The 25,346-nt window shown below is 44.6% G+C and overlaps 2 protein-coding genes, 3 long non-coding RNA genes and 1 pseudogene across 8 annotated transcripts in view, besides 10 other annotated features; 4 read left to right on the top strand and 2 right to left on the bottom strand.

Moving 5' to 3' along the window:
- NBR1 (NBR1 autophagy cargo receptor) overlaps positions 1–687 on the bottom strand; it is a 41,280-nt gene extending 40,593 nt beyond the window's left edge. For 2 of the 4 annotated variants that reach the window (XM_011524813.3, XM_017024643.3), the window contains exon 1: positions 153–687. The gene's annotated coding sequence lies outside the window, so the exon portion shown is untranslated. The remainder of the gene's footprint in view (positions 1–152) is intronic. The other 2 variants (NM_031862.4, XM_024450749.2) reach the window with 2 other exon arrangements.
- On the top strand, positions 132–10,808 carry LOC124900391 (uncharacterized). The gene is made up of 2 exons (XR_007065760.1): positions 132–680; positions 3,247–10,808. It is a non-coding gene; the product is annotated as an uncharacterized LOC124900391 (long non-coding RNA).
- Positions 172–281: an enhancer, noted in NCBI's record as "active region_12238". NCBI's record gives its function as "activates an Ori minimal core promoter by ATAC-STARR-seq in GM12878 lymphoblastoid cells {active_cell/tissue: GM12878}" and the evidence as "EXISTENCE:reporter gene assay evidence [ECO:0000049][PMID:35858748]".
- Positions 532–581: an enhancer, noted in NCBI's record as "active region_12237". NCBI's record gives its function as "activates an Ori minimal core promoter by ATAC-STARR-seq in GM12878 lymphoblastoid cells {active_cell/tissue: GM12878}" and the evidence as "EXISTENCE:reporter gene assay evidence [ECO:0000049][PMID:35858748]".
- On the top strand, positions 693–22,730 carry LOC101929767 (uncharacterized). The gene is made up of 2 exons (NR_110868.1): positions 693–970; positions 22,313–22,730. It is a non-coding gene; the product is annotated as an uncharacterized LOC101929767 (long non-coding RNA).
- Positions 769–25,346, top strand: part of BRCA1 (BRCA1 DNA repair associated) — a 126,033-nt gene continuing 101,455 nt past the window's right edge. Inside the window, exon 1 of the mRNA NM_001408458.1 lies at positions 769–970. The gene's annotated coding sequence lies outside the window, so the exon portion shown is untranslated. The remainder of the gene's footprint in view (positions 971–25,346) is intronic.
- Positions 852–1,061: an enhancer, noted in NCBI's record as "active region_12236". NCBI's record gives its function as "activates an Ori minimal core promoter by ATAC-STARR-seq in GM12878 lymphoblastoid cells {active_cell/tissue: GM12878}" and the evidence as "EXISTENCE:reporter gene assay evidence [ECO:0000049][PMID:35858748]".
- Positions 1,142–3,026, top strand: BRCA1P1 (BRCA1 pseudogene 1; annotated as a pseudogene).
- Positions 11,154–11,684: an enhancer, noted in NCBI's record as "NANOG-H3K27ac-H3K4me1 hESC enhancer chr17:41311429-41311959 (GRCh37/hg19 assembly coordinates)". NCBI's record gives its function as "activates a minimal SCP1, AML or CMV promoter by ChIP-STARR-seq in naive H9 embryonic stem cells {active_cell/tissue: H9 hESC(naive)}" and the evidence as "EXISTENCE:reporter gene assay evidence [ECO:0000049][PMID:30033119]".
- Positions 13,862–14,212: a non allelic homologous recombination region, noted in NCBI's record as "sub-region c', recombines with sub-region c in the BRCA1 intronic recombination region, resulting in a gene conversion event". NCBI's record gives the evidence for it as "EXISTENCE:nucleotide sequencing assay evidence [ECO:0000219][PMID:26171949]".
- Positions 13,862–14,533: a biological region, named in NCBI's record as "BRCA1P1 intergenic recombination region". NCBI's record gives its function as "recombination_partner: LOC110485084".
- Positions 13,976–14,212: a non allelic homologous recombination region, noted in NCBI's record as "sub-region d', recombines with sub-region d in the BRCA1 intronic recombination region, resulting in a deletion". NCBI's record gives the evidence for it as "EXISTENCE:nucleotide sequencing assay evidence [ECO:0000219][PMID:11880951, PMID:19405878]".
- Positions 14,290–14,312: a non allelic homologous recombination region, noted in NCBI's record as "sub-region b', recombines with sub-region b in the BRCA1 intronic recombination region, resulting in a deletion". NCBI's record gives the evidence for it as "EXISTENCE:nucleotide sequencing assay evidence [ECO:0000219][PMID:11880951]".
- Positions 14,346–14,533: a non allelic homologous recombination region, noted in NCBI's record as "sub-region a', recombines with sub-region a in the BRCA1 intronic recombination region, resulting in a deletion". NCBI's record gives the evidence for it as "EXISTENCE:nucleotide sequencing assay evidence [ECO:0000219][PMID:16772120, PMID:17561994]".
- NBR2 (neighbor of BRCA1 lncRNA 2) overlaps positions 17,425–25,346 on the bottom strand; it is a 28,115-nt gene continuing 20,193 nt past the window's right edge. The window contains exon 8 of the long non-coding RNA NR_138145.1: positions 17,425–17,494. This is a non-coding gene — a long non-coding RNA (neighbor of BRCA1 lncRNA 2). The remainder of the gene's footprint in view (positions 17,495–25,346) is intronic.
- Positions 23,905–24,514: an enhancer, noted in NCBI's record as "OCT4-NANOG-H3K4me1 hESC enhancer chr17:41298599-41299208 (GRCh37/hg19 assembly coordinates)". NCBI's record gives its function as "activates a minimal SCP1, AML or CMV promoter by ChIP-STARR-seq in naive and primed H9 embryonic stem cells {active_cell/tissue: H9 hESC(naive and primed)}" and the evidence as "EXISTENCE:reporter gene assay evidence [ECO:0000049][PMID:30033119]".

The following is a 25,346-nucleotide window of genomic DNA, read 5'->3' as shown; positions in this document are numbered from 1 at the left end:
GATGGGGCGGGGCAGAAGCAACCTGAACCCGAACAACAATAACAAACATTGAGGCTGAGGGGCGGAACTAGGAGTGCGCAGATGTGGGCCAGAGCGGATTTCCCCTTCCCCAGGCAAATTCGGCGCCCACTGCGTCCCCGCAGGCCACTGACCTTAGAGGACTACTTGCCCGAGACTCGTGGGGCTGGATGGGAATCGTAGTCTTCCTAGGAGTTGTAGGTATCTTTTTTTGGCCTAGTCTCTGCTCTCAAGATAGGAGAACATAACAACACTCCAATCCATTACTGTTGACATGTATAAGCCCGCGGAGGTCTCCAATCTATCCACTGGATTTCCGTGAGAATTGTGCCCGCTTTGGTATTGGATGTTCCTCTCCATAAGACTACAGTTTCCAAGGAACAGTGTGGCCAAGGCCTTTCGTTCCGCAATGCATGTTGGAAATAGTAGTTCTTTCCCTCCACCTCCCAACAATCCTTTTATTTACCTAAACTGGAGACCTCCATTAGGGCGGAAAGAGTGGGGTAATGGGACCTCTTCTTAAGACTGCTTTGGACACTATCTTACGCTGATATTCAGGCCTCAGGTGGCGATTCTGACCTTGGTACAGCAATTACTGTGACGTAATAAGCCGCAACTGGAAGCGTAGAGGCGAGAGGGCGGGCGCTTTACGGCGAACTCAGGTAGAATTCTTCCTTTTCCGTCTCTTTCTTTTTATGTCACCAGGGGAGGACTGGGTGGCCAACCCAGAGCCCCGAGAGATGCTAGGCTCTTTCTGTCCCGCCCTTCCTCTGACTGTGTCTTGATTTCCTATTCTGAGAGGCTATTGCTCAGCGGTTTCCGTGGCAACAGTAAAGCGTGGGAATTACAGATAAATTAAAACTGTGGAACCCCTTTCCTCGGCTGCCGCCAAGGTGTTCGGTCCTTCCGAGGAAGCTAAGGCCGCGTTGGGGTGAGACCCTCACTTCATCCGGTGAGTAGCACCGCGTCCGGCAGCCCCAGCCCCACACTCGCCCGCGCTATGGCCTCCGTCTCCCAGCTTGCCTGCATCTACTCTGCCCTCATTCTGCAGGACTATGAGGTGACCTTTACGGAGGATAAGATCAATGCCCTTATTAAAGCAGCCAGTGTAAATATTGAAACTTTTTGGCCTGGCTTGTTTGCAAAGGTCCTGGCCAACGTCAACATTGGGAGCCACATCTGCAGTGTAGAGGGGGGGAAAAAAACGTGACTGCGCGTCGTGAGCTCGCTGAGACGTTCTGGACGGGGGACAGGCCGTGGGGTTTCTCAGATAACTGGGCCCCTGGGCTCAGGAGGCCTGCACCCTCTGCTCTGGGTTAAGGTAGAAGAGCCCCGGGAAAGGGACAGGGGCCCAAGGGATGCTCCGGGGGACGGGCGGGGGAAAGTGAATTTCCGAAGCTAGGCAGATGGGTATTCTTATGCGAGGGGCGGGGGCGGAACCTGAGAGGCATAAGGCGTTGTGAACCCCCCGGGGAAGGGGGCAGTTTGTAGGTCTCGAGGGAAGCACTAAGGATCAGGTTGGGGGCACAGTGTGTCCGAGGAGGAATCCTCCTGATAGGAACTGGAATGTGCCTTGAAGGGGACACCATGTGTATAAGAACATCAGCTGGTCGCCGGGGATGGTGGCTTACGCCTGTATTCCTAGCACTTTGGGAGGCCAAGGCGGATGGATCACGAGGTCAGGAGTTCGAGACCAGCCTGACCATCGTGGTGAAACCCCGTCTCTACTAAAAATACAAAAATTAGCCGGGCGTGGTGGCGCGCGCCAGCTACTCAGGAGCTGAGGCAGGAGAATCGCTTGAACCCAGGAGGCGGAGGTTGCAGTGAGCCGAGATCGCGCCATTGCACTCCAGCCTGGGTGGCAGAACGACACTCCGTCTCAAAAACAAACAAAGAAATAAACACCGGCTGGTATATATGAGAAGATGGGCCCTTGCGGAAGAAGAAGTGCCAGGAATATGTCTGGGAAGGGGAGGAGACAGGATTTTGTGGGAGGGAGAACTTAAGAACTGGATCCATTTGTGCTATTGAGAAAGCGCAAGAGGGAAGTAGAGGAGCGTCAGTAGTAACAGATGCTGCCGGCAGGGATGTGCTTGAGGGGGATCCTGAGATGAGAGTGGGTCGCTGGGAAAGGCTAGGGGCAGGGAGGCCTTGATTGGTGTTGGTTTGGTCGTTGTTGATTTTGGTTTTATGCAAGAAAAAGAAAACAGCCAGAAGCATTGGAGAAAGCTCACCACTTACCCGGTCAGTCACTCCCCTGTAGCTTTCTCTTTCTTGGAGAAAGGAAAAGACCCAAAGGGTTGGAAGCAATATGTGAAAAAATACAGAATTTATATTGTCTAATTACAAAAAGCAACTTCTAGAACCTTTAAAGGATTTTGTATTATTCTAAAACCTTCCAAATCTTAAATTTACCTTATTTTATTTTATTTATTTTTGAGACGGAGCTTCGCTCTTGTTGCCCAGGCTGGAGTGTAATGGCGTGATTTGGGCTCACCGCAACCTCTGACTCGTGGGTTCAAGCGATTCTCCTGCCTCAGCTCCCGAGTAGCTGGGATTACACGCATGCACCACCATGCCTGGCTCATTTTTTTGTATTTTTAGTAGAAACGAGGTTTCTCCGTATTGGTCAGGCTGGTCTTGAACTCCCGACCTCAGGTCATCCGCCCGCCTCGGCCTCCCTAAGTGCTGTGATTACAGGCGTGAGCCACCACGCCCAGCCCAATTTACCTTATTTTAAAATGATAAAATGAAGTTGTCATTTTTCTAAACCTTTTTAAAAGATACATGTTTTTCTAATGTGTTAAAGTTCATTGGAACAGAAAGAGATAGATTTATCTGCTGTTTGCGTTGAAGAAGTACAAAATGTCCTTAATGCTATGCAGAAAATCTTACAGTGTCCAATCTGGTAAGTCACCAGAAGAGGGTATTAATTTGGGATTCCTATATGATTATCTCCTATGCAAATGAACAGAATTGACCTTACATAGAAGGGAGGAAAAGACATGTCTAATAAGATTAGGCTATTGTAATTGCTGATTTTCTTAACTGAAGAACTTTAAAAGTATAGAAAATGAATCCTTGTTCTCCATCCACTCTGCCTCTCCCACTCCTCTCCTCTTCAACACAAATCCTGTGGTCCCTGAAAGACAGGGACCCTGTCTTGATTGGTTCTGCACTGGGGCAGGAATCTAGTTTAGATTAACTGGCATTTTGGTTTTCTTCTAGCTCTAAAACCAGCTCCATCACTTGAAATGGCAAAATAAATCATGAATGAGGCCGGGGGCTGTGGCTCACACCTGTAATCCCAGCACTCTGGGGGGCCGAGGCAGGCAGATCACGAGGTCAGGAGATCGAGACCATCCTGGCTAACATGGTGTAAGGGAGGAGACCACCCCTCATATTGTCTTATGCCCAATTTCTGCCTCCAAAGAAAGAAAAAGTAAAAACTAAAGGGCAGAAATGACATCCACAAGCAGACACCCCAGGTGCCACACCCTGGGCCTGGTAGTTAAAAATCAACCCCTGACCTGATTGGTATGTTATCTATAGATTACAGACATTGTATAGAAAAGCACTGTGACAATGCCTTTCCTGTTTTGTTCCGATCTAGTTACTGGTGCATGCAGCCCCCAGTCACGTACCCCCTGCTTGCTCAATTGATCACGACCCTCTCACGTGCACCCCCTTAGAGTTGTGAGCCCTTAAAAGGGACAGGAATTGCTCACTCGGGGAGCTTGGCTCTTGAGACCGGAGTCTTGCCGATGCCCCTGGCCTAATAAACCCCTTCCTTCTTTAACTCGGTGTCTGATAAGTTTTGTCTGCAGCTCGATTTCTTGGTTCCCTGACTGGGAAGCGAGGTGAATGGCGGATGGTCAAGGCAGCTCCTTAGGCGGCTTAAACCTGCCCTGTGGAACATCCCTGCAGGGGACTCCAACCAGCCCGAGCAACACGGATCCTGAGGGCGCTCCTGGTTAGGCATTTGCCCCACTGGGACGCCTCGCCAGAGCACTGTATGGCAGGCCCCCATGGAGGATCAACGCAGTGGCTGAACACCGGGAAGGAACGGGCACTTGGAGTCTGGACATCTAAAACTTGGTAAGAGTAGTCTTTGAAACTTGCCCACTCCATTTGAGTGGAAGCATGGCCTGATCACCCATGGCGTGCCTTTATTGGCACTTTGGTTTTGGTTTGAATTGCTTGACAGGATTGGTCTTGGGAACTTGCCTACTCCATTTGAGTGGAAGTGTGGCCTGATCACCCATGGTGTGCCTCTCCTGGCACTTTGGTTTTTATTTTTGACTTGACTTGGATTGCTTGATACTTTGGTTTTGGTTTTGACCTGGCTTGGATTTCTGGATACTCTGATTTTGGTTTGGTGCAAACTGCAAAACTGTGTGTGCGCCCTTTTTACCGGTTCTTTGTTTTGTGGTGTGTTTGTGGTGTGAGCGTGGTGTTTTGTCTTGAAGAAGCATAGGTCAGGCACGAATAAGCCCACCCCACTAGGAACTATGTTGACAAATTTCAAAAAAGAATCTGAGGGAGACTATGGAGTGCTATGACACCAGGAAAACTTAAAACTTTGTGTAAGATAGACTGGCCAGCATTAGAGGTAGGTTGGCCATTAGAAGGAAGCCTGGACAGGTCCCTTGTTTCAAAGGTATGGCACAAGGTAACCTATAAGCCAAGGAACCCAGACCAGTTCCCTTACAGAGACACTTGATTAGAGCTGGTTTTAGACCCCCCACCCCCAACACATAGTGGTTGAGAGAACAGCAGCATAAGTGGCTGGCAGAGGCAAGGAAAGACCAGCAGAGAGAGAGAAAGGAAAGAGACAGAGAGGAAAAGAGGAAAAGAGAGAGAGGAAGAGACAGGAAGAGACAGACAGAGAGTCAAGGATAGAGAGAGAGAGAGAGAGAGAGACACACACACACACACACACAGAGAGAGAGGAAGAGGCAGAGGCAAAAGGAAAGTCAAAGAGAGAGACAAAGTCAAAGAGAGAAAGAAAGAGAGAAAGAGAGAGAGATACAAAGTTAAGAAAAAAAAGCCATCTATACCAATTCTAATTTAGACAAAACAAGGTCTTATTAATAGCAAAGGATAATTAAAATCCCAAACTTAGAAGGTTTTCTTTTTATTATTATTATTATTATACTTTAAGTTTTAGGGTACATGTGCACAACATGCATTTTTTTAAAATTTTTTTTAAAGGTTTTCAACTAAAGTTTGCTAAAAGTTAACAGTGTAACATGTATATAGTAACTTATATTCTTGTGGCCTAGTCCACAAGACACAAAAAAGGTTCGCTTTGGAAAAGAATGGTTATCATCTTCGAAAAAAAAAAGGAAAAAAAGGGGGGGCGGAATTTATATAAAAAGAGTATTATATGGTAAATTCTTGTCCTGAAACAAATTAACTGGTTGTTTAAAGAAATAAATATTTGTAATAAGTCAGAAAGTTGAGGCATATCGAAGAATTGTCTGCGAAAGTCACGAAAGAGAAAAATGTTATAAAAAAATTTATGCAAAAAATGTTGTATAATTTAAAAGTAACTAGGCCTCCTGAATGTAAAACTGTTGAAAAAAAAAACAGTTTATATGCAAGGTGTATAAGAAAAGTAAAATATATCTTTGGTAAAAGAATTGTAAGGAGGCATAAGGATGTACATTTTCACCTACATTAAAAGGTTAAAAATAATTATTGTTTTGAAGATTTAAGCAAGTTTCAAAATGTTAATTGTAAAGAAAATTCTGTGTGTAAACATATTAGCTAAAGTTAAAGAAGTATCATCCAGTTTTTCTGTGAACTGGACATTAAAGTAAAAGCATAACAGGTTTTTTCTTAAAGCACCAACCTGCTCTTTTGCAAAAATTATAAAGGGTTAAAAAGAATCTATAAAATCTTACCTTATGGTCAAACATTAACAATTAGATACATATGTCTACAAGGTTTTATTAAAATTAAGTTTAATATTAATAACACACTAATATAAAGATAAAATTTAGCTTATCTGGTATAAAAATCATACGAGAAGCACTGTTAAATGTAAAATGGTATTTGGCTTTCTTTGGTTTAAAAACTAATAAAAATAGGTGCTAAAGGAAATTTCTCAGGAAAAAGGCACTAAGGACTATAAAGTCCACTGCCAAGGTCCCCACATTTAAAACAAAAGGTCAGTTCCTTAGAATTATATGCTTGGTTTATTTTCCACTTTCCTTTCTCTCAAAAACTAAAAGTCTTTTAGCACATGTACCACCCCTAGAATTTCTAGTAAACCAGCACCAGCCTGAAGATCACATTCTCATCGAAAGGTGGAAAGAAGAAAAACTCGAGCCAGCCTGGAAGGACCCTACCTTGTGTTGCTAACCACCAAGACTGCTGTTCGTACAGCAAAAAAGGATGGACTCGTCACACCAGAATCAAGAAAGTGCCACCCCCTCCAGAGTCATGGGCCACAGTCCCAGAGGAAAACCCTGCCAAACTAAAGCTACGAAAAATCTCTTTTCATCTATTCTATTACTCTTCTTTCTTTCCTCGTGCTATTGCTGACCATCTAGTTATTAACATAACCAAGTCAATTTCACCTCAAACTATTGCATTTAATGCTTGCCTTGTTATACCCTGTGGGGACTTGCCAAGTCAAAGACAGCTCTCTACTTCAGAAAAGTACTTCTGTCCCTCCTGACTCTCCTCAGACTGGACATTAGTAAACTAGGACCATTTAATCCAGGGAGATTTCGATAAAGACCCCAGTGCCAACCAGGAGTCTTGTCCCCTGATGTAGAGTTTTTATGCCGTAGTTGGTCCAACGTTCTGTGGACCACTAAAGAGCAAGAATGGACTGCCCCAACCAGTTTTTGTAATTTCCTAAAACCATACATTCGTTTTACTAGAGGATCATAGAAGTTAAAGAGTTAAAACAAACTTTACCAATGAAGACAGGATACCAAGATGCAAATGCCTGGTTAAAATGCATCAAATATTCCATCTGCACGTTAAACAAAAGCAATTGTTATGCTTGTGCACATGGCAGGCCAGAGGCCCAGATTGTCCCCTTTCCACTAAGGTGGTCCTCCAGTCGACCAGATGTGGGCTGCCTGGTAGCTCTTTTCCAGGATTCTACAGCCTGTATTAATAAGTCATGCCAAGCTCTCTCTGCTATATCCCAAAGTCCAGCACCCTGCGGGTCAGCCCCCGAGGGCCATCCATCCTCCATCTCCCAACACTAAGTTCACTTCATGTCTCTCACAACAGGGAGGAAACTTAGCGTTCCTTGGAGACCTGAAAGGATGCAGTTAGCTTAAGAATTTTCAAGAGCTTATCAATCAGTCAGCCCTTGTTCATCCCCGAGCAGATGTGTGGTGGTATTGTGGTGGACCTTTACTGGGCACTCTGCCAAATAACTGGAGTGGCACTTGTACTTTAGTCCAATTGGCTATCCCTTTCACCCTGGCATTTCATCAACCAGAAGGAAAAAAAGAAAGACATTGTAAAGCGAGAGAAGCCCCTTATGGGTCTTTCGACTCTCATGTCTATTTAGATGCAATTGGAGTCCCACGAAGAATACCAGATCAATTTAAAGCTTGAAATCAAATAGCTGCAGGATTTAAGTCAATATTTTAGTGGGTGACAGTTAATAAAAATGTAGATTAGATAAACTACATCTATTACAACCAACAACAACGAGGTTTTCATGAGTTAAAAGAAAACCTCATGTTGGTCCCAGCCCTGAGGCTACCTGACCTGACAAAACTCTTTACACTCTATGTGTCAGAAAGAGAAAAAATGGCAGTTGGAGTTTTAACCCATACTGTGAGGCCCTGGCCAAGGCCAGTGGCCTATCTCTCAAAACAACTAGACAGGATTTCCAAAGGCTGGCCCCCAGGTCTAAGGGCCCTAGCAGCAACAGCCCTGTTAGCACAAGAAGCAGATAAACTAACCCTTAGGAAAACCTGAATATAAAGGCCCCCCATGCTGTGGTAACTTTAATGACTACCAAAGGACCTCATTGGTTACAAATGCTAGATTAACCAAGTACCAAAGCTTGCTATGTGAAAATCCCCACATAACCACTGAAGTTTGCAACACCCTAAACCCCACCACCTTGCTCCTGGTATCAGAGAGCCTAGTTGAACATACTGTGTAGAGGTGTTGGACTCAGTTTATTCTAGCAGGCCCAACCTCCGAGACTATCCTTAAACATCAGTAGACTGTGAGGGGTACGTGGACGGGAGTAGCTTCGCCAACCCCTGCAAAGTGACTCTGAAGAAGACGACAAGCTCTGCTCCAGTCACACCCAGAAGCTGACTGGTCCACGCACGGCCGAAGCATGAGAAAACTCATTGCGGAACTCATTTTCCTTAAAATTTGGACTTTTACAGTAAGGACTTCAACTGACCTTCCTCAGACTGAGGACTGTTCCAGTGTATACATCAAGTCACTGAGGTAGGACAAAAGGTTGCTACAGTCCTATTATTTTATGGTTATTATAAGTGTACTGGAACTCTAAAAATAACTTGTTTGTATAATGTTATTCTGTACAAGGTATGTAGCCCAGGAAGTGACCAACCTGATGTGTGTTATGACCCATCTGAGCCTCCCATGACCACGGTTTTTAAAATAAGATTAAGGACTGAGGACTGGTGGGGGCTCATAAATGATATGAGTAAAGTGTTAGCCAAAACAGAAGAAAAAGGGGTGCCCAAACAAGTCACCTTAAAATTTGATGCCTGTGCTGTCATTAATAGTAATAAGTTAGGAATAAAGTGTGGTTCTCTTAATTAGAAAAGAGGCTATATGGCAGAAAATAAGTACATCTGTCATAAATTAGGACTGTGTGGAAATAAATGTAAATACTGGTCTTGTGTCATTTAGGCCACTTGGATTTAAAAAAAATGAAAAGGATCCAGTCCACCTTCAGAAAGGAAAAAAATGGCCCTTCCTGTGCTAAGGGACAATGTAACCCCTTAGAGCTAGTAATAACCAATCCCCTTGATCCTCGCTGGAAAAAAGAGTAGCGTGTGACCTTAGGAATCAATGGGGCTGGACTGAATCCCCGAGTAAATATCTTGGTTCGAGGAGAAGTTTACAAATGCTCTCTTGAGCCAGTGTTTCAAACTTTCTATGATGAACTAAATGTGCCAATAACAGAATTTCCAGGAAAAACAAGAAATTTGTTTTTGCAATTAGCCGAGCATGTAGCCCAGTCTCTCACTGTCACTTCATGTTATGTATGTGGAGGAACTGTAATAGCAGATCAATGGCCATGGGAAGCCCGAGAATTAGTACCTACAGACCCAGTTCCTGATGAATTCCCAGCTCAAAAGAATCACCCTGATAATTTCTGGGTCCTAAAAGCCTCAATCATTAGACAATACTATATAGCAAGAGTGGAGAAGGACTTCACCCTTCCTGTAGGAAGACTACATGGTGGAGTTCAAACCACACAGAGAAAAATCCATTCAGTAAATTTCCAAAGTTGCAGACCGTTTAGGCCCACCCAGAATCCCACCGGGACTGGACAGCCCCCACTGGGCTATACTGGATATGTGGACATAGAGCCTACACTAAGCTGCCTGACAAGTAGTTGTGTTATTGGCACTATTAAACCATCTTTCTTCCTACTGTCCATAAAAACAGGAGAACTCCTGGGCTTCCCTGTCTATGCTTCCCGTGAAAAGCATAGCTATAAGAAATTGAAACAATGATAAATGGCCCCCTGAGAGAATCATACAGTATTATGGGCCTGCTACTTAGGCACAAGATGGCTCGTGGGGATACCGGATCCCCATTTATATGATCAACTGAATCATACGGTTACAAGCTGTCTTAAAAATAATCACTGCAACCGGCAGAGCCTTGACTATTCTGGCCCAGCAAGAAACTCAGATGAGAAATGCTATCTATCAAAATAGATTAGCTCTCGACTACTTGCTAGCAGCTGAAGGAGAGGTCTGTAGGAAATTTAACCTTACTAATTGCTGCCTACACATAGATAACCAAGGGCAAGTAGTTGAAGACATAGTTAGAGATATGACAAAAGTGGCACATGTGCCCGTGCAAGTGTGGCATGGATTTGATCCTGGGGCCATGTTTAGAAAATGGTTCCCAGCGCTAGGAGGATTTAAAACTCTTATAATAAGAGTTATAATAGTAATAGGAACCTACTTACTGCTCCCTCGTTTGCTACCTGTACTTCTTCAAATGATAAAAAGCTTCATCGCTACCTTAGTATACCAAAATGCATCAGCACAAGTGTACTATATAAATCACTATTGATCTGTCTAGCAAGAAGACATGGGTAGTAAACATGAAACAACTCCTGCTATTGAGTGAGAGTCTCAAAGTGGGGGAATAAGGGAGGAGACCACCCCTCATATTGTCTTATGCCCAATTTCTGCCTCCAAAGAAAGAAAAAGTAAAAACTAAAAGGCAGAAATGAAATCCACAAGCAGACAGCCCGGGCGCCACACCCTGGGACTGGTAGTTGAAAATCAATCCCGGACCTAATCGGTTATGTTATCTATAGATTACAGACATTGTATAGAAAAGCATTGTGAAAATCTCATTCCTGTTTTGTTCCAATCTAATTACTGGTGCGTGCAGCCCCCAGTCACGTACCCACGTACCTCCTGCTTGCTCAATCGATCACGACCCTCTCACGCACACCCCCTTAGACTTGTGAGTCCTTAAAAGGGACAGGAATTGCTCACTCGGGGCGGGGGCTCGGCTCTTGAGACAGGAGTCTTGCTGATGCCTCCGGCCTAATAAACCCCTTCCTTCTTTAACTCGGTGTCTGAGGAGTTTTGTCTGCAGCTCGTCCTGCTACAGGTGAAACCCCATCTCTACTAAAAAAATACAAAAAAATTAGCCAGGTGTGGTGGCGGGTGCCTGTAGTCCCAGCTGCTTGGGAGGCTGAGGCAGGAGAATGGTGTGAGCCTGGGAGGCAGAGCTTGCAGTGAGCCGAGATCATGCCACTGCACTCCAGCCTGGGCAACAGAGTAAGACTCCGTCTCAAAAAAAAAAAAAAAAATCATGGATGGTTGGTGTCATGGAGGGGATAGGTCTTTGGAAGAACCTTCCTCTGAAGCTGGCTCTGTACATTTAAATAAGAATACTGCAAATCATCAAAGCCTTTAGCAAGTCTGACTCTTGGAGTGAGCCTTTGTTTTTCTTCATTTATAAAAGGAAAAGGGGACTGTACTGTTCACATTTATTTATTTTTTTATTTTTTTAATTGATCATTCTTGGGTGTTTCTCCCAGAGGGGGATTTGGCAGGGTCATAGGACAATAGTGGAGGGAAGGTCAGCAGATAAACAAGTGAACAAAGGTCTCTGGTTTTCCTAGGCAGAGGACCCTGCGGCCTTCCGCAGTGTTTGTGTCCCTGGGTACTTGAGATTAGGGAGTGGTGATGACTCTTAACGAGCATGCTGCCTTCAAGTATCTGTGATGTGAGGAGCGCCTCTGCCCGGCCGCGACCCCGTCTGGGAGGTGAGGAGCATCTCTGCCCGGCCGCCCCGTCTGAGAAGTGAGGAGACCCTCTACCTGGCAACCGCCCCGTCTGAGAAGTGAGGAGCCCCTCCGCCTGGCAGCCACCCCGTCTGGGAAGTGAGGAGCGTCTCAGCCCGGCAGCCACCCCGTCCGGGAGGGAGGTGGGGGTCAGCCCCCGCCAGGCCAGCCGCCCCGTCCGGGAGGGAGGTGGGGGTCAGCCCCTGCCAGGCCAGCCGCCCCGTCCCGGAGGGAGGTGGGGGGGTCAGCCCCCTGCCCGGCCACATTTTGTTTTTGAATCGAGGTATAATTTACATACAGTGAAATGCAGAGGTTTTTTTATACAGGATCTCTGTCGAGAGGCTGGAGTGCAGTGGTGCTATCACAGCTCACTGCAGCCTCAACCTCGCCAGGCTCAAGCGATCCTCCCACCTCAGCCTCCAGAGTAGCAGGGACTACAGGTGTGCATCACCATGCCCAGCTAATTTGTGTGTGTGTGTTTGTGTGTGTGTTTGTAGATATAGGGTTTTGCCATGTTGGCCACGCTGGTCTCAAACTCCTGACCTCAAGTGATCTACCCACCTTGGCCTCTCAAAGTGCTGGGATTACAGGTATGAGCCTCTGCACCCAGCCATGGTCTGAAAATCTTGATTGAAATACCACCTTTTCATTTCCAGACACCGCTATTTAAAGTTACAACACCCTCAAGACACACTTTATCCTCCATTCCTGCTGCTTCTCCATAACACTTATTACTAGCTGACCTTCTATGTAATGTATCTATCCTTTATCTCTAGTCCCACAGAATGTAAACTCCAGGGCAGCAGAGATTTTTGTTTCGTTTATGTACATCTGTATATTCAGTAGTTAAAACAGTACTTGGGACCTAGTTGCCACTCAATAAACATTTGTTGAATAAATTAAATAATAAACTACATTAGTTCTTCAATTAATTTTTTAAAATATGGTGGTTAATAGTGAGTAACATTCAAAAAATAAGTTGAAAATTTATACCTATTGCCTCTTACCCACAATAAAAAAGGGTAAATTCAAGGAAATTTTCTTTTGTGCTTTATGAAAGTTGTTTTTCATATTTGGAGTCATGTCAATCAGATTAAGGAAAATGCAAGTTGTGTTTTCAGAGAGATACAAGATTTATAAATAACCATCCTCTCCCTTGCCCTTCAACATTTTAGCTAAACAAAAACAAGAGGAAAACAAGATTTACAATTTATCAATTCATTGAAAATCAGAGCCAGAGAAGCAGGAAATGACATTGTAGGAAAAAACTGCTTTTGAAAAAGCACAACTTACTCATGACAATCAGAGTGATCAAAAAAATCCTCAATAGTGTGGCATTTGGATCCATTTATCATTACATTTCCATGGGACAGAGTCATAAAAATAGGATGTTCTTTCTCATTATGGCAAATTAAACCATCAATTAAAAACTCAGATACATAAAAATTAAAGATGTAAGAATGAAAGTTAATGCTAAATTTTTATTTTCAGTCAACTATTGTATGTTTTCTAGCTTTTCATTGCTTTTTTCCTATTTTCTGTTAGATTAATATTTTTTTTTTTTTTTTTTGAGACAGAGTTTCGCTCTTGTTGCCCAGGCTGGAGTGCAATGGCACATCTCGGCTCACCACAACCTCCACCTCTTGGGTTCAAGTGATTCTCCTGCCTCAGCCTCCGGAGTAGCTGGGATTACAGGCATGCGCCACCAAGCCAGCTAATTTTGTATTTCTTAGTAGAGACGGGGTGTCTCCATGTTGATCAGGCTGGTCTCAAACTCCCAGCCTCAGGTGATCTGCCTGCCTCGGCCTCCCAAAGTGCTGGGATTACAGGCGTGAGCCACTGCGCCCAGATTTTTTTAATTTTTATTTTTGAGATGGATTCTTGCTCTGTTGCCCAGGCTGGAGTACAGTGGTGCCGTCTTGGTTCACTGCAACTTCTACCTCCCAGGTTCAAGTGCTTCTCCTGCCTGAGCCTCCTGAGTAGCTAGGATTACAGGCGTGTGCCACCATGCCCAGCTAATTTTGTATTCTTAGTAGAGACGGGGTTTCACCATGTTGTCAGGATGTTCTTGATCTCCTGACCTCGTGATCTGCCCACCTCGGCCTCCTAAAGTGCTGGGATTACAGGCGTGAGCCTCCGCGCCAGGCCTTAAGATTAATTTTTAATGGTTTTTTAGACTCATATGTATGGAAACTTCTAGGATGGGGACCATATTTCACTTCCTTTTAATACAGTACCCAGTATAGCACAATTTGCAGTTATGTCTTAATATGTGATTCCTGATCATGACTGGAAACAGTGTTATTTGTGGTAGCTATAGGGTAGGTAAGTTTTTCAGCCTGTTTTAGGTTTCTTGACCTAAAATTCCTTCTGCTGGACTCTAAGTCACTATTGGCAGCTATTTCTGACGATTGGTAGTTCTTTGTAACTTTTTACCTATGACTGTAACATTTTTGACTTTCAGAAGAATTTGCTAAAATGTGTTCCCCGGTGGGTTGTTGTTTTTCAACCTAAACCTAGCTGCTTTTTCCAGTCACTTATCCGTATTGGAAGCTCAAAATGCAAATATACAGTAGGCCTAAAATATTGCCTGGTTTGAAAAGTGTTTAAAATATTTGAATCATTTTTATAGTAAACATTTACTCTCATCAGGACCTAGAAGGGGAACATTTTAATTTTTTTCCTTTTCCCTTTTCACAGTCTTCCTTCAACATTCATTACCTTTTTACATATTGGAGTTTTCATCTGTTCACAGTTTATGTTTACAGTGTGTTTATATAGTGTAGATTATAATTACCATACTGAAATATAATTATTTCAGAATTGAGTCAGTGGTGAGAATGAAAGCCATCTGGTATGATAACTGAATCCAATTTTTCTTTTACGGAGAATTTCTTTGAAATGTAGCTTATCTCAGAAATAGGGATTTAGTAACCAATCAGAGTTTTCTTTGTCAAGGTTGTTTTTCTTTTTAAAGTCACATTTGGTCCCAGTAATAATACCCACATTGGTACAAGTCATCTCAGGTTGTGAAGTATTTTCCCAAGTAGCATTTAATTTTATTCTTGCAATAGCCCAAGGAGACTGGCAGGGTGAATGACAGAGAAGGAAACTGAGGTTCAGGTAAAGTGGTTAGCCCAAGGTGGCTCTGCTTATATACACAACTGGTAGTAGAAACCCAGCCTTCTGACTTAGTTCAGTGTTTCTCTTTTCACTGCCCTGTGCTACGTCAGAAACACCATGATTACAAGAGTAGTATTACTAAATCCTTCACAATAAGGTTACTGTCCCCGAGCTTTTCTTATGATTCTTTTTTTTTTTCTTTTTTTGAGATGGAGTCTCACTCTGTCGCCCAGGCTGGAGTACAGTGGCACAATCTCATCTGACTGCAACTTCCGCCTCCCGGGTTCAAGCAATTCTCCTGCCTCAGCCTCCCGAGTAGCCAGGACTACAGGTGCGTGCCACCATGCCTGGTTAATTTTTGTAGTTTTAGCAGAGGCGGGGTTTCCCCATATTGGCTAGGCTGGTCTCAAACTCCTGACCTCAGGTGATCCACCTGCCTCAGACTCCCAAAGTGCTGGGATTACAGTGTGAGCCACCGCACCTGGCCCTTGTGATCCTTTTCTAAAAAGTTAAATATTTAATGAAAAGAACCACATTCTTGTCGCACTACCAGGATACTTGTTCTTTGATGTCCTGCCTGGACTTTACCCAAAAAATCCATTTCAAAAGTTCACATTTAGGGCTAAGTGTAGTGGCTCATACCTGTAATCCCAGCTGAGGCAGGTGGATCATTTGAGGTCAGGACTTCAAGAACAGCCTGGGCAACATGGTGCAACCCCTTCCCTACCAAAAATACAAAAAAATTAGCCAGGCATGGCAGCATGCGCCTGTAGTCCCAGCTACTTGGAAGGCTGAGGCACAAGAATCACTTCAATCCGAGAGGCAGAGGTTGCAGTGAGCCAAGACCACACCACTGCACTCCAGCCTGAGCAGCAGAGTGAGTGAGACTCCATCTCCCCCCAAAAAAAGTTTCACTGGACATAGTAGCTCACACTTGTAATCCCAGCACTTTGGGAAGCCAAAGCAGGAAGACTGCTTGAGGCCAGTCATTCAAGACCAGCATGGGCAACATAGTGAGATCCTGTCTCTATAAAAATTAATTAACATTAAAAATTAAAAAGATGGCCGGGCATGGTGGCTCACTCCTGTAATCCCAGTACTTTGGGAGGCCAAGGCATGGTGGTGCATGCCTTTAGTCCCAGCTACTCGGGAGGCTGAGGCAGGAGAATCACTTGAACCCAGGAGGCAGAGGTTACAGAGAGCTGAGATTGTGCCACTGCACTCCAGCCTGGGTGACAGAGTGAGACTCTGTCTCAAAAAAAGAAAATTAAAAAGACCAGAATAAAGCTAAAGATTTAAAATAGCTGGCAGGTTCCTACCAAAAGTTACCAGCTACCTCTCTGATGCTCTTTCCCTACAATATCCTCCTGGATTATTACATTTTAGCACCTTGACCTATCTGATGTCCTGCATACACAGGCATGGTCCTGCTCAGGGTTTGCCTTCTCTGCTCCCTCTTTCCTGGAATGCTCTTCCCCTAATTGTTGCATAGCGTGTTTCTTTACATTATTAAGCTGTCCTCTAGTCTCACCTCAGTGAAACCTTTCCTGACTCCCCCCATGTACACCTACCCCCTATACATATTACACTACCTGTTTCCCCTTACCCTGCTTATTTTTTCTCTTTAATACACTTATTCCCATATATTCTTTAATTCTGCATCAACTGTCTACCACACTAGAATGTGAGAGCAGGTTTTATTTTGTAAACTGCTGTATTTCTATCTCCTAGAATAGTACTTGAATATAGTAGTAGATACTTAATAAACACTTGTTATATTAGTATAATAAATGAATTACTCTCAGGAATGCCTTGGTTTTGTGGATAGACAGGTAGGGATGGGAACTGGGGTGATGTATTTTCTAAAGTTTTTATTTTTTAAGCTTATTATTATTATTATTTTGAGACAGAGTCTAGCTCTGTCACCCAGGCTGGAGTGCAGCTTATTATTATTATTTTGAGATGGAGTCTAGCTCTGTCACCCAAGCTGGAGTGCAGTGGGGCAATCTTGGCTCACTGCAACCTGCGCCTCCCAGGTTCAAGCGATTCTCCTGCCTCAGCCTCCTGAGTACCTGGGATTACAGGCGCCTGCCACCATGCCCAGTTAGTTTTTGTATTTTTAGTAGAGATGGGGTTTCACCATGTTGGCCAGGCTGGTCTCGAAATCCTGACCTCGTGATCTGCCGGCCTTGGCCTCCCGAAGTGCTGGGATTACAAGCGTGAGCCCCCGTGCCTGGCCTTATTTTCTTTTTATTGAGACAGAGTCTTCCTCTGTCACCTAGGCTGGAGTGCAGTGGTGTGATCTTGGCTCACTCTGCAACCTCCACCTCCAGGGTTCAAGTGATCCTTCTGCCTTAGCCTCCAAGTAGCTGGCACCACAGGCATGGGACACCACGCCTGGCTAATTTTTGTATTTTTAGTAGAGACGGGGTTTCACCATGTTGTCCAGGATGATCTAGAACTCCTGAGCTCAGGTGATCCACCCACCTCAGCCTCCCAAAGTGCTAGGATTACAAGCATGAGGCACCACGCCCAGCCTTAAGCTTATTATTTTCTAAATTTCCTTTAGTGAGTACCTACTACACTGTTTTTACAAAGTAATCACAAACCAAACATGCGTCTTCTGAAGTGATCTAATAAGAGTACACAGTACCATCTGTAAAGTGTTCTTGCCAAAAGGTTAAACCTGAATTTGATTAGGCCTATAAGTCTAATTTACAGGAAATAAGGTTAGAGGGTTAGCAGGATTGATAAGGAATCAGAGAGACTGATGGGATTGAGGAGGATCTTTATTATTTAGGTGCACCAGCCCAGGTGGATTAACATCCAAAGGACTGAGCCCTGAACAAAGAGTTAAGTTACCTTTTAAGCATTTGGTGGGGTGGGGGAGATCTGTGCAGGGGGAAGCATATTACAGAAGTGAGAAACAAAGACGGTTATTCAATTAATTGAGACATATATTACATCATTTTTTACTTTTCAAGGAAAAACATTTTTTACAACTTGAGTTTATCTGTCTAGTGACCTTGCAGCTGCACAGCTAGGGAAACAGGATCTTCACAGTGCCTGGGAAAGGAGGAGAGATAAGGCTCACTAGCCACAGAAAAACAGGCAGTTAATTTTTAAAGGACTTCAGCTCCTTCTTTTTCTCAGGGGAAATTGGGTTTTCTTACATACAACTGAGTTTCTGCTTACACGTTCTTTAATTTCTTTTAATTCCTGTTCCAGAGGAACATGTTAAACCTCACCATGGGGTTATACAATCAGCAAAATCCAAAATGCACAAAACTCTACAGGTCGAGTGACCTGTCCAGCAGTTCGTCTCCTAAATCCAGAAGTAATCCTTCCCTTCGCTCTTAACCAGTGGAGTTCTCCATTTATTTATTTATTTTTATTATTATTATTTTTGAGACAGAATCTCACTCTATTGCCCGGGCTGGAGGGCAGTGGCAAGATCTCGGCTCACTGCAACCTCCGCCTCCTGGGTTCAAGGGATTCTCCTGCCTCAGCCTCTCGAGTAGCTGGGATTACAGGCACCCACTGCTATGCCCAGCTTATTTTTTTTTATTTTTTTATTTTTGAGACGGAGTCTTGCTCTGTCACCCAGGCTGGAGTGCTGGAGTACAGTGGCGCAATCTCAGCTCACTGCAAGCTCCACCTCCCAGGTTCACGCCATTGTCCTGCCTCAGCCTCCCAAGTAGCTGGGACTTCAGGTGTCCGCCACTATGCCCAGTTAATTTTTTGTATTTTTTAGTAGAGATGGGGTTTCACTGTGTTAGCCAGGATGGTCTCGATCTCCTAACCTTGTGATCCGCCCACCTCAGCCTCCCAGAGTGCTGGGATTACAGGTGTGAGCCACCACGCCCAGCCAATTTTTTGTATTTTTAATAGAGACAGGGTTTCACCATGTTGGCCAGGCTGGTCTCCAACTCCTGACCTCGTGATCCACCCACCTCAGCCTCCCAAAGTGCTGAGATGACAGGTGTGAGCCACTGCACCCGGCCTGGAGTTCTCCTTTTATACATTAACAAATTTCTCTTGCGTCTCTACTACGTCTTGCTAGATGTGTTGGAAAAGGATGAATAAATGCAGTTCTACCCTCCACTTGTAGGTGGAGTGGAAGTGTAAACAAGCAATTTCAACACAGTGGGAGAGGTGCTAAAGAGAGAACTGTGTGGTCACTGGGGCAGTGCACATAACCAAAAATAAAGAGAGACATATACAAGGCTCAGTGGTGGCTCAGTAGAGCAAAGCCAGGCAACAGATGACACAGCTGTAAACAAACCAAAATTCACCATCAACATATTTTGAAAGTATGTGGTGGTGCTGATTTCAAATCTTGGCTCCATCACACACTATGTGGCCTTGGGAAAGTTACATAACCTCTAAGCACCAGTTTCTACCTGGGGAGAATATTACCTATTCCAGGGTGTTATTTATGATGATATTTAAAGGAAATAATGCATGTAAAGTGCTTAGCACAGTCTCTGGCACTTAATGGTACTTCCAAATTACTACAGAAAAAAATGTATATTTTTATTTTTTAAGAGACAGGGTATTGCTCTGTCACCCAGGCTGAGGTACAGTGGTGCAACCATAGCTCATTGCAACCTTGAACAGTTGTGCTGAAGTGATCTTCCCTCCTCAGCCTCCCAAGTAGCTGGAAGGACAGGGGCGTGCCACCATGTGCGGCTAAGTTTTTTTAAACATTTTTTTGTAGAGATGGGGTCTCCCTATGTTGACCAGACTAGTTTCAAACTATTGGCCTCAAGCAATCCTTCTACCTTGGCCTCCCAAAATGTTGGGATTACAGGCATGAGCCACTGCATCTAGCCTGAAACAAATCTTACATATAGGGAAAAAAAACTTTTAGCACAAAGATGTATTTATAATAGGAACATTTCTGGAACACACTGAAAATCCTCTTTTGGTTTTTTTGTTTTTGTTTTTGTTTTTTTTGAGACAGAGTCCCAGAGCTAGGAATATAGGCATGCGCCACCACATGTGGCTCATTTTTGTATTTTTAGTAGAGATGTGGTCTTGTTATGTTGGCCAGGCTGGTCTCAAACACCTAACCTCAAGTGATTCATCTGCCTTGGCCTCCCAAAAATGTGGGGATTACAGGTGTGAGCCACCACACTTCATATAATATCCTTTTGATGGAGTATTATGTAGCTGTTAAACTGTGACAATGTTTGACAGTCATAGATACAAAAAGCACTAAATAAAATTTGAATCTGATGTTATCTTGGCTATGTAAATAGATACCCAAAGTCCCTGGGCCTCTCCAGCCTGTGATTTTAAATGAGGTCACATTAGCCTTATACCCGAATTTCACTGTCCCATTGCCCCCACCAGCTCTTACAGACCTCTGCAAAGGCCCTGAGGGCCCTAGGGAATAAAGCATATGCCCCACCCACCCAACTATTCATAAACTGTCTGTGTTTGATGGGCACAGCCACCCTTTGCCAAGCCTTCACTCTTGCCATACCTCATAAAGGACACCTCCCTGTCAGGTTGACCAAACCACTTGGTTTGCCTGGAACCGAGAGGTTTCCTGGGATTTAGGACTTTTAGTACTAAAACTGAGAGACTCTTTGGCAAACTAGGAGAACTTGGTCACCCTGACTCACTGTGCAAAGCTGCACATTTTTTTTGCACTTCCAAGCTGCAAAATTTTTAGATCCCCAAATGGAGTTGTTTTTTTTTAGCTAGAGCTCAGCTTCATTCTTCCCAAAACAGGGACTTATGGACCTCCCAGAGGACTGGGTGAGGTGAATATTCATGTTTGAATTCAGGGGACTTTTATCCCTGGTACCAGGGAAGTAAAAAGAAACAACAGTCAAAAGGTTGCTTGAGAAACAGCTAATTAGAGGATGGGTCTAGAGAAGAGATGCTGGTTTGGGAAACATGAGCACATTGGGTGGCAAATATCATGAGACTGGACTGGATGGCCCAGGACACCTGTAAACAGGAGAGAAGCCTGAGAATAATGACATTTGAGCCAATCTGCAGAGGTAAGTGAGTCCATAAAAGAAACTGAGGCTGGGCCTAGTGGCTCACACCTGTAATCCCAGCACTTTGACAAGCATATCACTTGAGGCCAGGAGTTCGAGACCAGCCTGGCCAACATGATGAAACCCTGTCTCTACTAAAAATACAACATTTAGCCAGGTGTAGTAGTGACAGCCCGTAGTCCCAGCTACTCAGGAAGCTAAGGTGGGAGGATTGCTTGAGCCCAGGAGGTTCAGGCTGCAGTGACCCATGATCACGCCACTACACTCTAGCCAGGGCAACAGGGCAAGACCCGGTCTCAAATAAATAAATAAATACAAATTAAGTAAAAAGAAACTTGCCGGACATGGTGGCTCATGCCTATAATCCCAGCACTTTGGGAGGCTTGAGGTGGGTGGATCACCTGAGGTCAGGAGTTTGAGACCTGCCTGGCCAAGATGGTGAAACCCCGTCTCTATTAAAAACACAAAAATTAGCTAGGCACGGTGGTGGGTTCCTGTAATCCCAGCTACTCGGGTGGTTGAGGCAGGAGAATTGCTTGAACCCAGGAGGCGGAGGATGCAGTGAGCTGAGATCATGCCACTGCACTCCAGGCTGTGCGACAGAGCAAGACTCCGTCTCAAAAACAAAAAAAAGAAACTGAGGGTAGTGGCCAAAGAGAAAGGAAGAAAACTAGGATTTGAGGTTTGTAAGTTTTGGTGCAGTTTCTGAAATTTGTCCACAGTTTCCAATTTGGCTATGCCTTCACCCTAAAGCTAGTATTGATACTGATTGATCATGCTTCATATCATCAAGTAGACCACTCTCTTTCTTTCCAGCTTCTGAAATGTAGGTGATTCCATATGAGGTGCTCTTACTCTCTCTGCTTTCTCTTTTATTATAGTTTAGTCTGAGGCTGGGTGCGGTGGCTCATGCCTGTAATCCTAGCACTTTGGGAGGCCAAGGTGGGCGGATCACTTGATGTCAGGTGTTCGAGACCAGCCTGGCCAACATGGTGAAACCCCGTCTCTACTAAAAATACAAAAATTGGCTGGGCATGGTGGCTCACACCTGTAATCCCAGCACTTTGGGAGGCCAAGGTGGGCGGATCACAAGGTCCACCCGCTAACATGGTGAAACCCCATCTCTACTAAAAATACAAAGAAAAAAAAAAAAAAAAAAACTAGCCCGGTGTGGTGGCGGGCACCTGTAATCCCAGCTACTCGGGAGGCTGAGGCAGGAGAATGGCATGAACCTAGGAGGCAGAGCTTGCAGTGAGCCGAGATCGTGCCACTGCACTCCAGCCTGGGCGACAGGGCAAGACTCTGTCTCGGGGGGGAAAAAAAGTAAAAAAGTTAATTGGGTGGTGGCGGGGGGATGTGTGTTGGTTATATTCAAATACTGCACCATTATATGTAAGGGATTGAGCGTTCACAGATTCTGGTGTGTGGGGGCAGTATCCTAGAACCAGTCCCCCGCAAAATATCAAGGATGACTGAACTATGGAAGAAACAAAGCACTGTTAAACAGCATACAATTCCTGTCTTCAAAAAAGTTATCTCATTAGGTAGATGAGACTTATAATGAATTAAAAGGAATGAATACAGATTTGGAGATAGTGGTTGTTGTGATGGAAAATCTTAATTGCGTTTTCTTCCAAAACAGAGTCATTCTTATAGAAGAGCATCAGAGGAAGATAAAAAAGAATCCTCAATGTCAGGCCCCTGAGCCCAAGCTAAGCCATCATAACCCTGTGACCTGCACATATACATCCAGATGGCCTGAAGCAACTGAAGAACCATAAACGTGAAATAGCCAGTTCCTGCCTTAACTGATGACATTCCACCATTGTGATTTGTTCCTGCTCCACCCTAACTGATCAATTGATCTTGTGACATTCCTTCTCCTGGACAATGAGTCTCAGGAGCTCCTCACCAAGCACCTTGTTACCCCCACCCCTGCCCACAAGAGAAAACGCACGTTAACTGTAATTTTTCCACTACCTACCCAAATCCTATAAAACTGCCCCACCCCATCTCCTTTTGCTGACTCCAGGTGATTAAAAAACTATTGCTCACACAAAGCCTGTTTGGTGGTCTCTTCACATGGATGCGCATAACACTCAAGGTAAATATTAGTCTGGTGATTTTTTTTTTTTTTGAGATGGAGTTCCCTCTTGTTGCCAGGCTGGAGTACAATGGCGCGATCTCAGCTCACCGCAACCTCCGCCTCCTGGGTTCAAGCGATTCTCCTGCCTAAGCCTCCTGAGTATCTGGGATTACAGGCTTGCGCCACCACTAGTCTGGCAATTTTTACATTAGAATTTTAGAATTAGAAGAGAGCTTAGAACTCTGCCCTCATTTGTCAGTGAGGAAACTGCCCAAGACAGGAAAAATAGTTACTTACCCTAATGCTTATCCTGGCTCCAGTGAAATTAGCTCCCCAGCCAAAGCTGAAATGGATGGAACTAACAAGGACACATCTGCTGTCCCCAGCCCTTTCCAGAGGTGGGGAGGGATAGGAAGGGGAAAGTTTGTCGTGCCTGTTCCTGCTGATAGTGGGCATCAGGCTAGGCCAGGGGCCTTCTTGGAGGCTTTGGGGAAGGGGTAGGGAAGGCCACCAGGTGTTGGAGAGGGCACTCATCTCCTTCAAGGCTGATGGAAGGTAGGATATGTGAGTCCTTCCTCTAAAGTGGCAGGAAACACTACTTTCTCTTTTTTATTTATTTATTATTTATTTCATGGATCCTAGAACTGAGCAAACAGTACTTTCTCATCTTACTGGTTTTTGGGCCCCCACTCTATTCCTTTTATACAAACCTCACAGAATTCTAACTAGAAAGGCCAGGCGGGATGGCTTACACGTGTAATCCCAGCGCTTTGGGAGGCCGAGGCGGGTGGATCACTTGAGGTTGGGAGTTTGAGACCAGCCTGACCAACATGGTGAAACCCTGTCACTACTGCCGGGCACGGTGGCTCACGCCTGTAATCCCAGCACTTTGGGAGGCCGAGGCGGGCAGATCACGAGGTCAGGAGATCGAGACCATCCTGGCTAACACAGTGAAACCCCGTCTCTACTAAAAATACAAAAAATTAGCCGGGCGTGGTGGCGGGCACCTGTAGTCCCAGCTACTCAGGAGGCTGAGGCAGGAGAATGGTGTGAACCTGGAAGGCAGAGCTTGCCGTGAGCCGAGATCGTGCCACTGCACTCCAGCCTGGGCTACAGAGCGAGACTCTGTCTCAAAATAAAAAAGAAACCCCGTCGCTACTAAAAATACAAAATTAGCCGGGCGCGGTGGCGCAGCCTGTAATCTCAGCTACTTGGGAGGCTAAGGCAGAATTGCTTGAACCCAGGAGGCAGAGGTTGCGGTGAGCCGAGATCACGCCATTGCACTCTAGCCTGGGCAACAAGAGTGAAACTCCATCTTAAAAAAAAAAAAAGCCATGAGGCTGCAGGACAAGGAGTCTTCCAGTGAGGATGAGATCTTCAACAGTGATGCGGGGTAAACGACGGGGCCCTCATGGTTCCCATCTAAAATGAGGAGGGGGTGAGAAACTTAATTGCTCCTTTCAAGAGTCAAAACCTTGGCATTGTTATTCTTATCCCAGGGATGTTGAATCCCCAACAGAGAAGATCTCAACAGGAGAGTCGGCTGCTGAGAGGGGAAGAGAGTGAGGCCCTGCCCTAGGAGGAGAACACAGAGTGACCCTAGCCCACCTCAGGCCTCCTGTAAAATTACTTATTTTTCTTTTTTTTTCTTTCATAATTGAGATTTTATTGGTTGAGGGTCAGTACAGACATTTCAATTTGTACACAATTCTTAACATATGTAACAAAAATCGGCCAGGTTTCATGGCTCACGCCTGTAATCCCAAGACTTTGGGAGGCTGAGGCAGGCAGATCACGAGGTCAGGAGATCGAGACCATCCTGGCTAATACAGTGAAACCCCGTCTCTACTAAAAATACGAAAAATTAGCCAGGCATGGTGGAGGGTGCCTGTAGTCCCAGCTACTTGGGAGGCTAAGGCAGGAGAATGGCGTGAACCCGGGAGGCAGAGCTTGCAGTAAGCCAAGATTGCACCACTGCACTCCAGCTTTGGCCACAGAGTGAGACTCCATCTCAAAAAAAAAAAAAAAAAAAAAAAAAAAGTAACAAAAATCTAAAAAGCCACGTACTGTAATTCTTTTTAAAAGTTATCCCAGTGACTTTCCAGCTTAAAATTTGGAAGCAAATTTTCCTTAAGAGACTAAGTACCCATATCTTCACATGTTGATCAGCTGTTATGTATGGCCCACAGTTCACAACTGAATAGCATGTATACTACATATTCAAATTTTTAGTATTTCACTTCACAATAACAAAGTTATTAGGAAAACAGGACTACCACAACCAAAGATGTTACAGAGTGCCCACAACTCCAACAGGGTGAGCCATAATCAAGGAGTTGTTTTCTTTAGGAAACAATTCTACTACAAAACAACATGGGGATGGAAGTAATTTAAAATGTTCAAGACATTAAATGCAGGACTGACTCCATATTGCCATTTAATATGCTTTGTATTACAGGATATAAAAACTAACCCCCATCTATGGAATGTTAAGCTGACACCCGAGACTGTCAAAGTCTCCCATAATTCAATATCCTACACAATTTTCTGGTTGTACCAAAAAATAAACAACCAGCAAATGATTTCACCT

This window comes from Homo sapiens, chromosome 17 (assembly GCF_000001405.40).
Source record: "Homo sapiens chromosome 17, GRCh38.p14 Primary Assembly".
NCBI lineage: Eukaryota > Metazoa > Chordata > Mammalia > Primates > Hominidae > Homo > Homo sapiens.
Note: the sequence above shows the minus strand (reverse complement) of the source record. Positions and strands in the feature narration are given on the sequence as shown.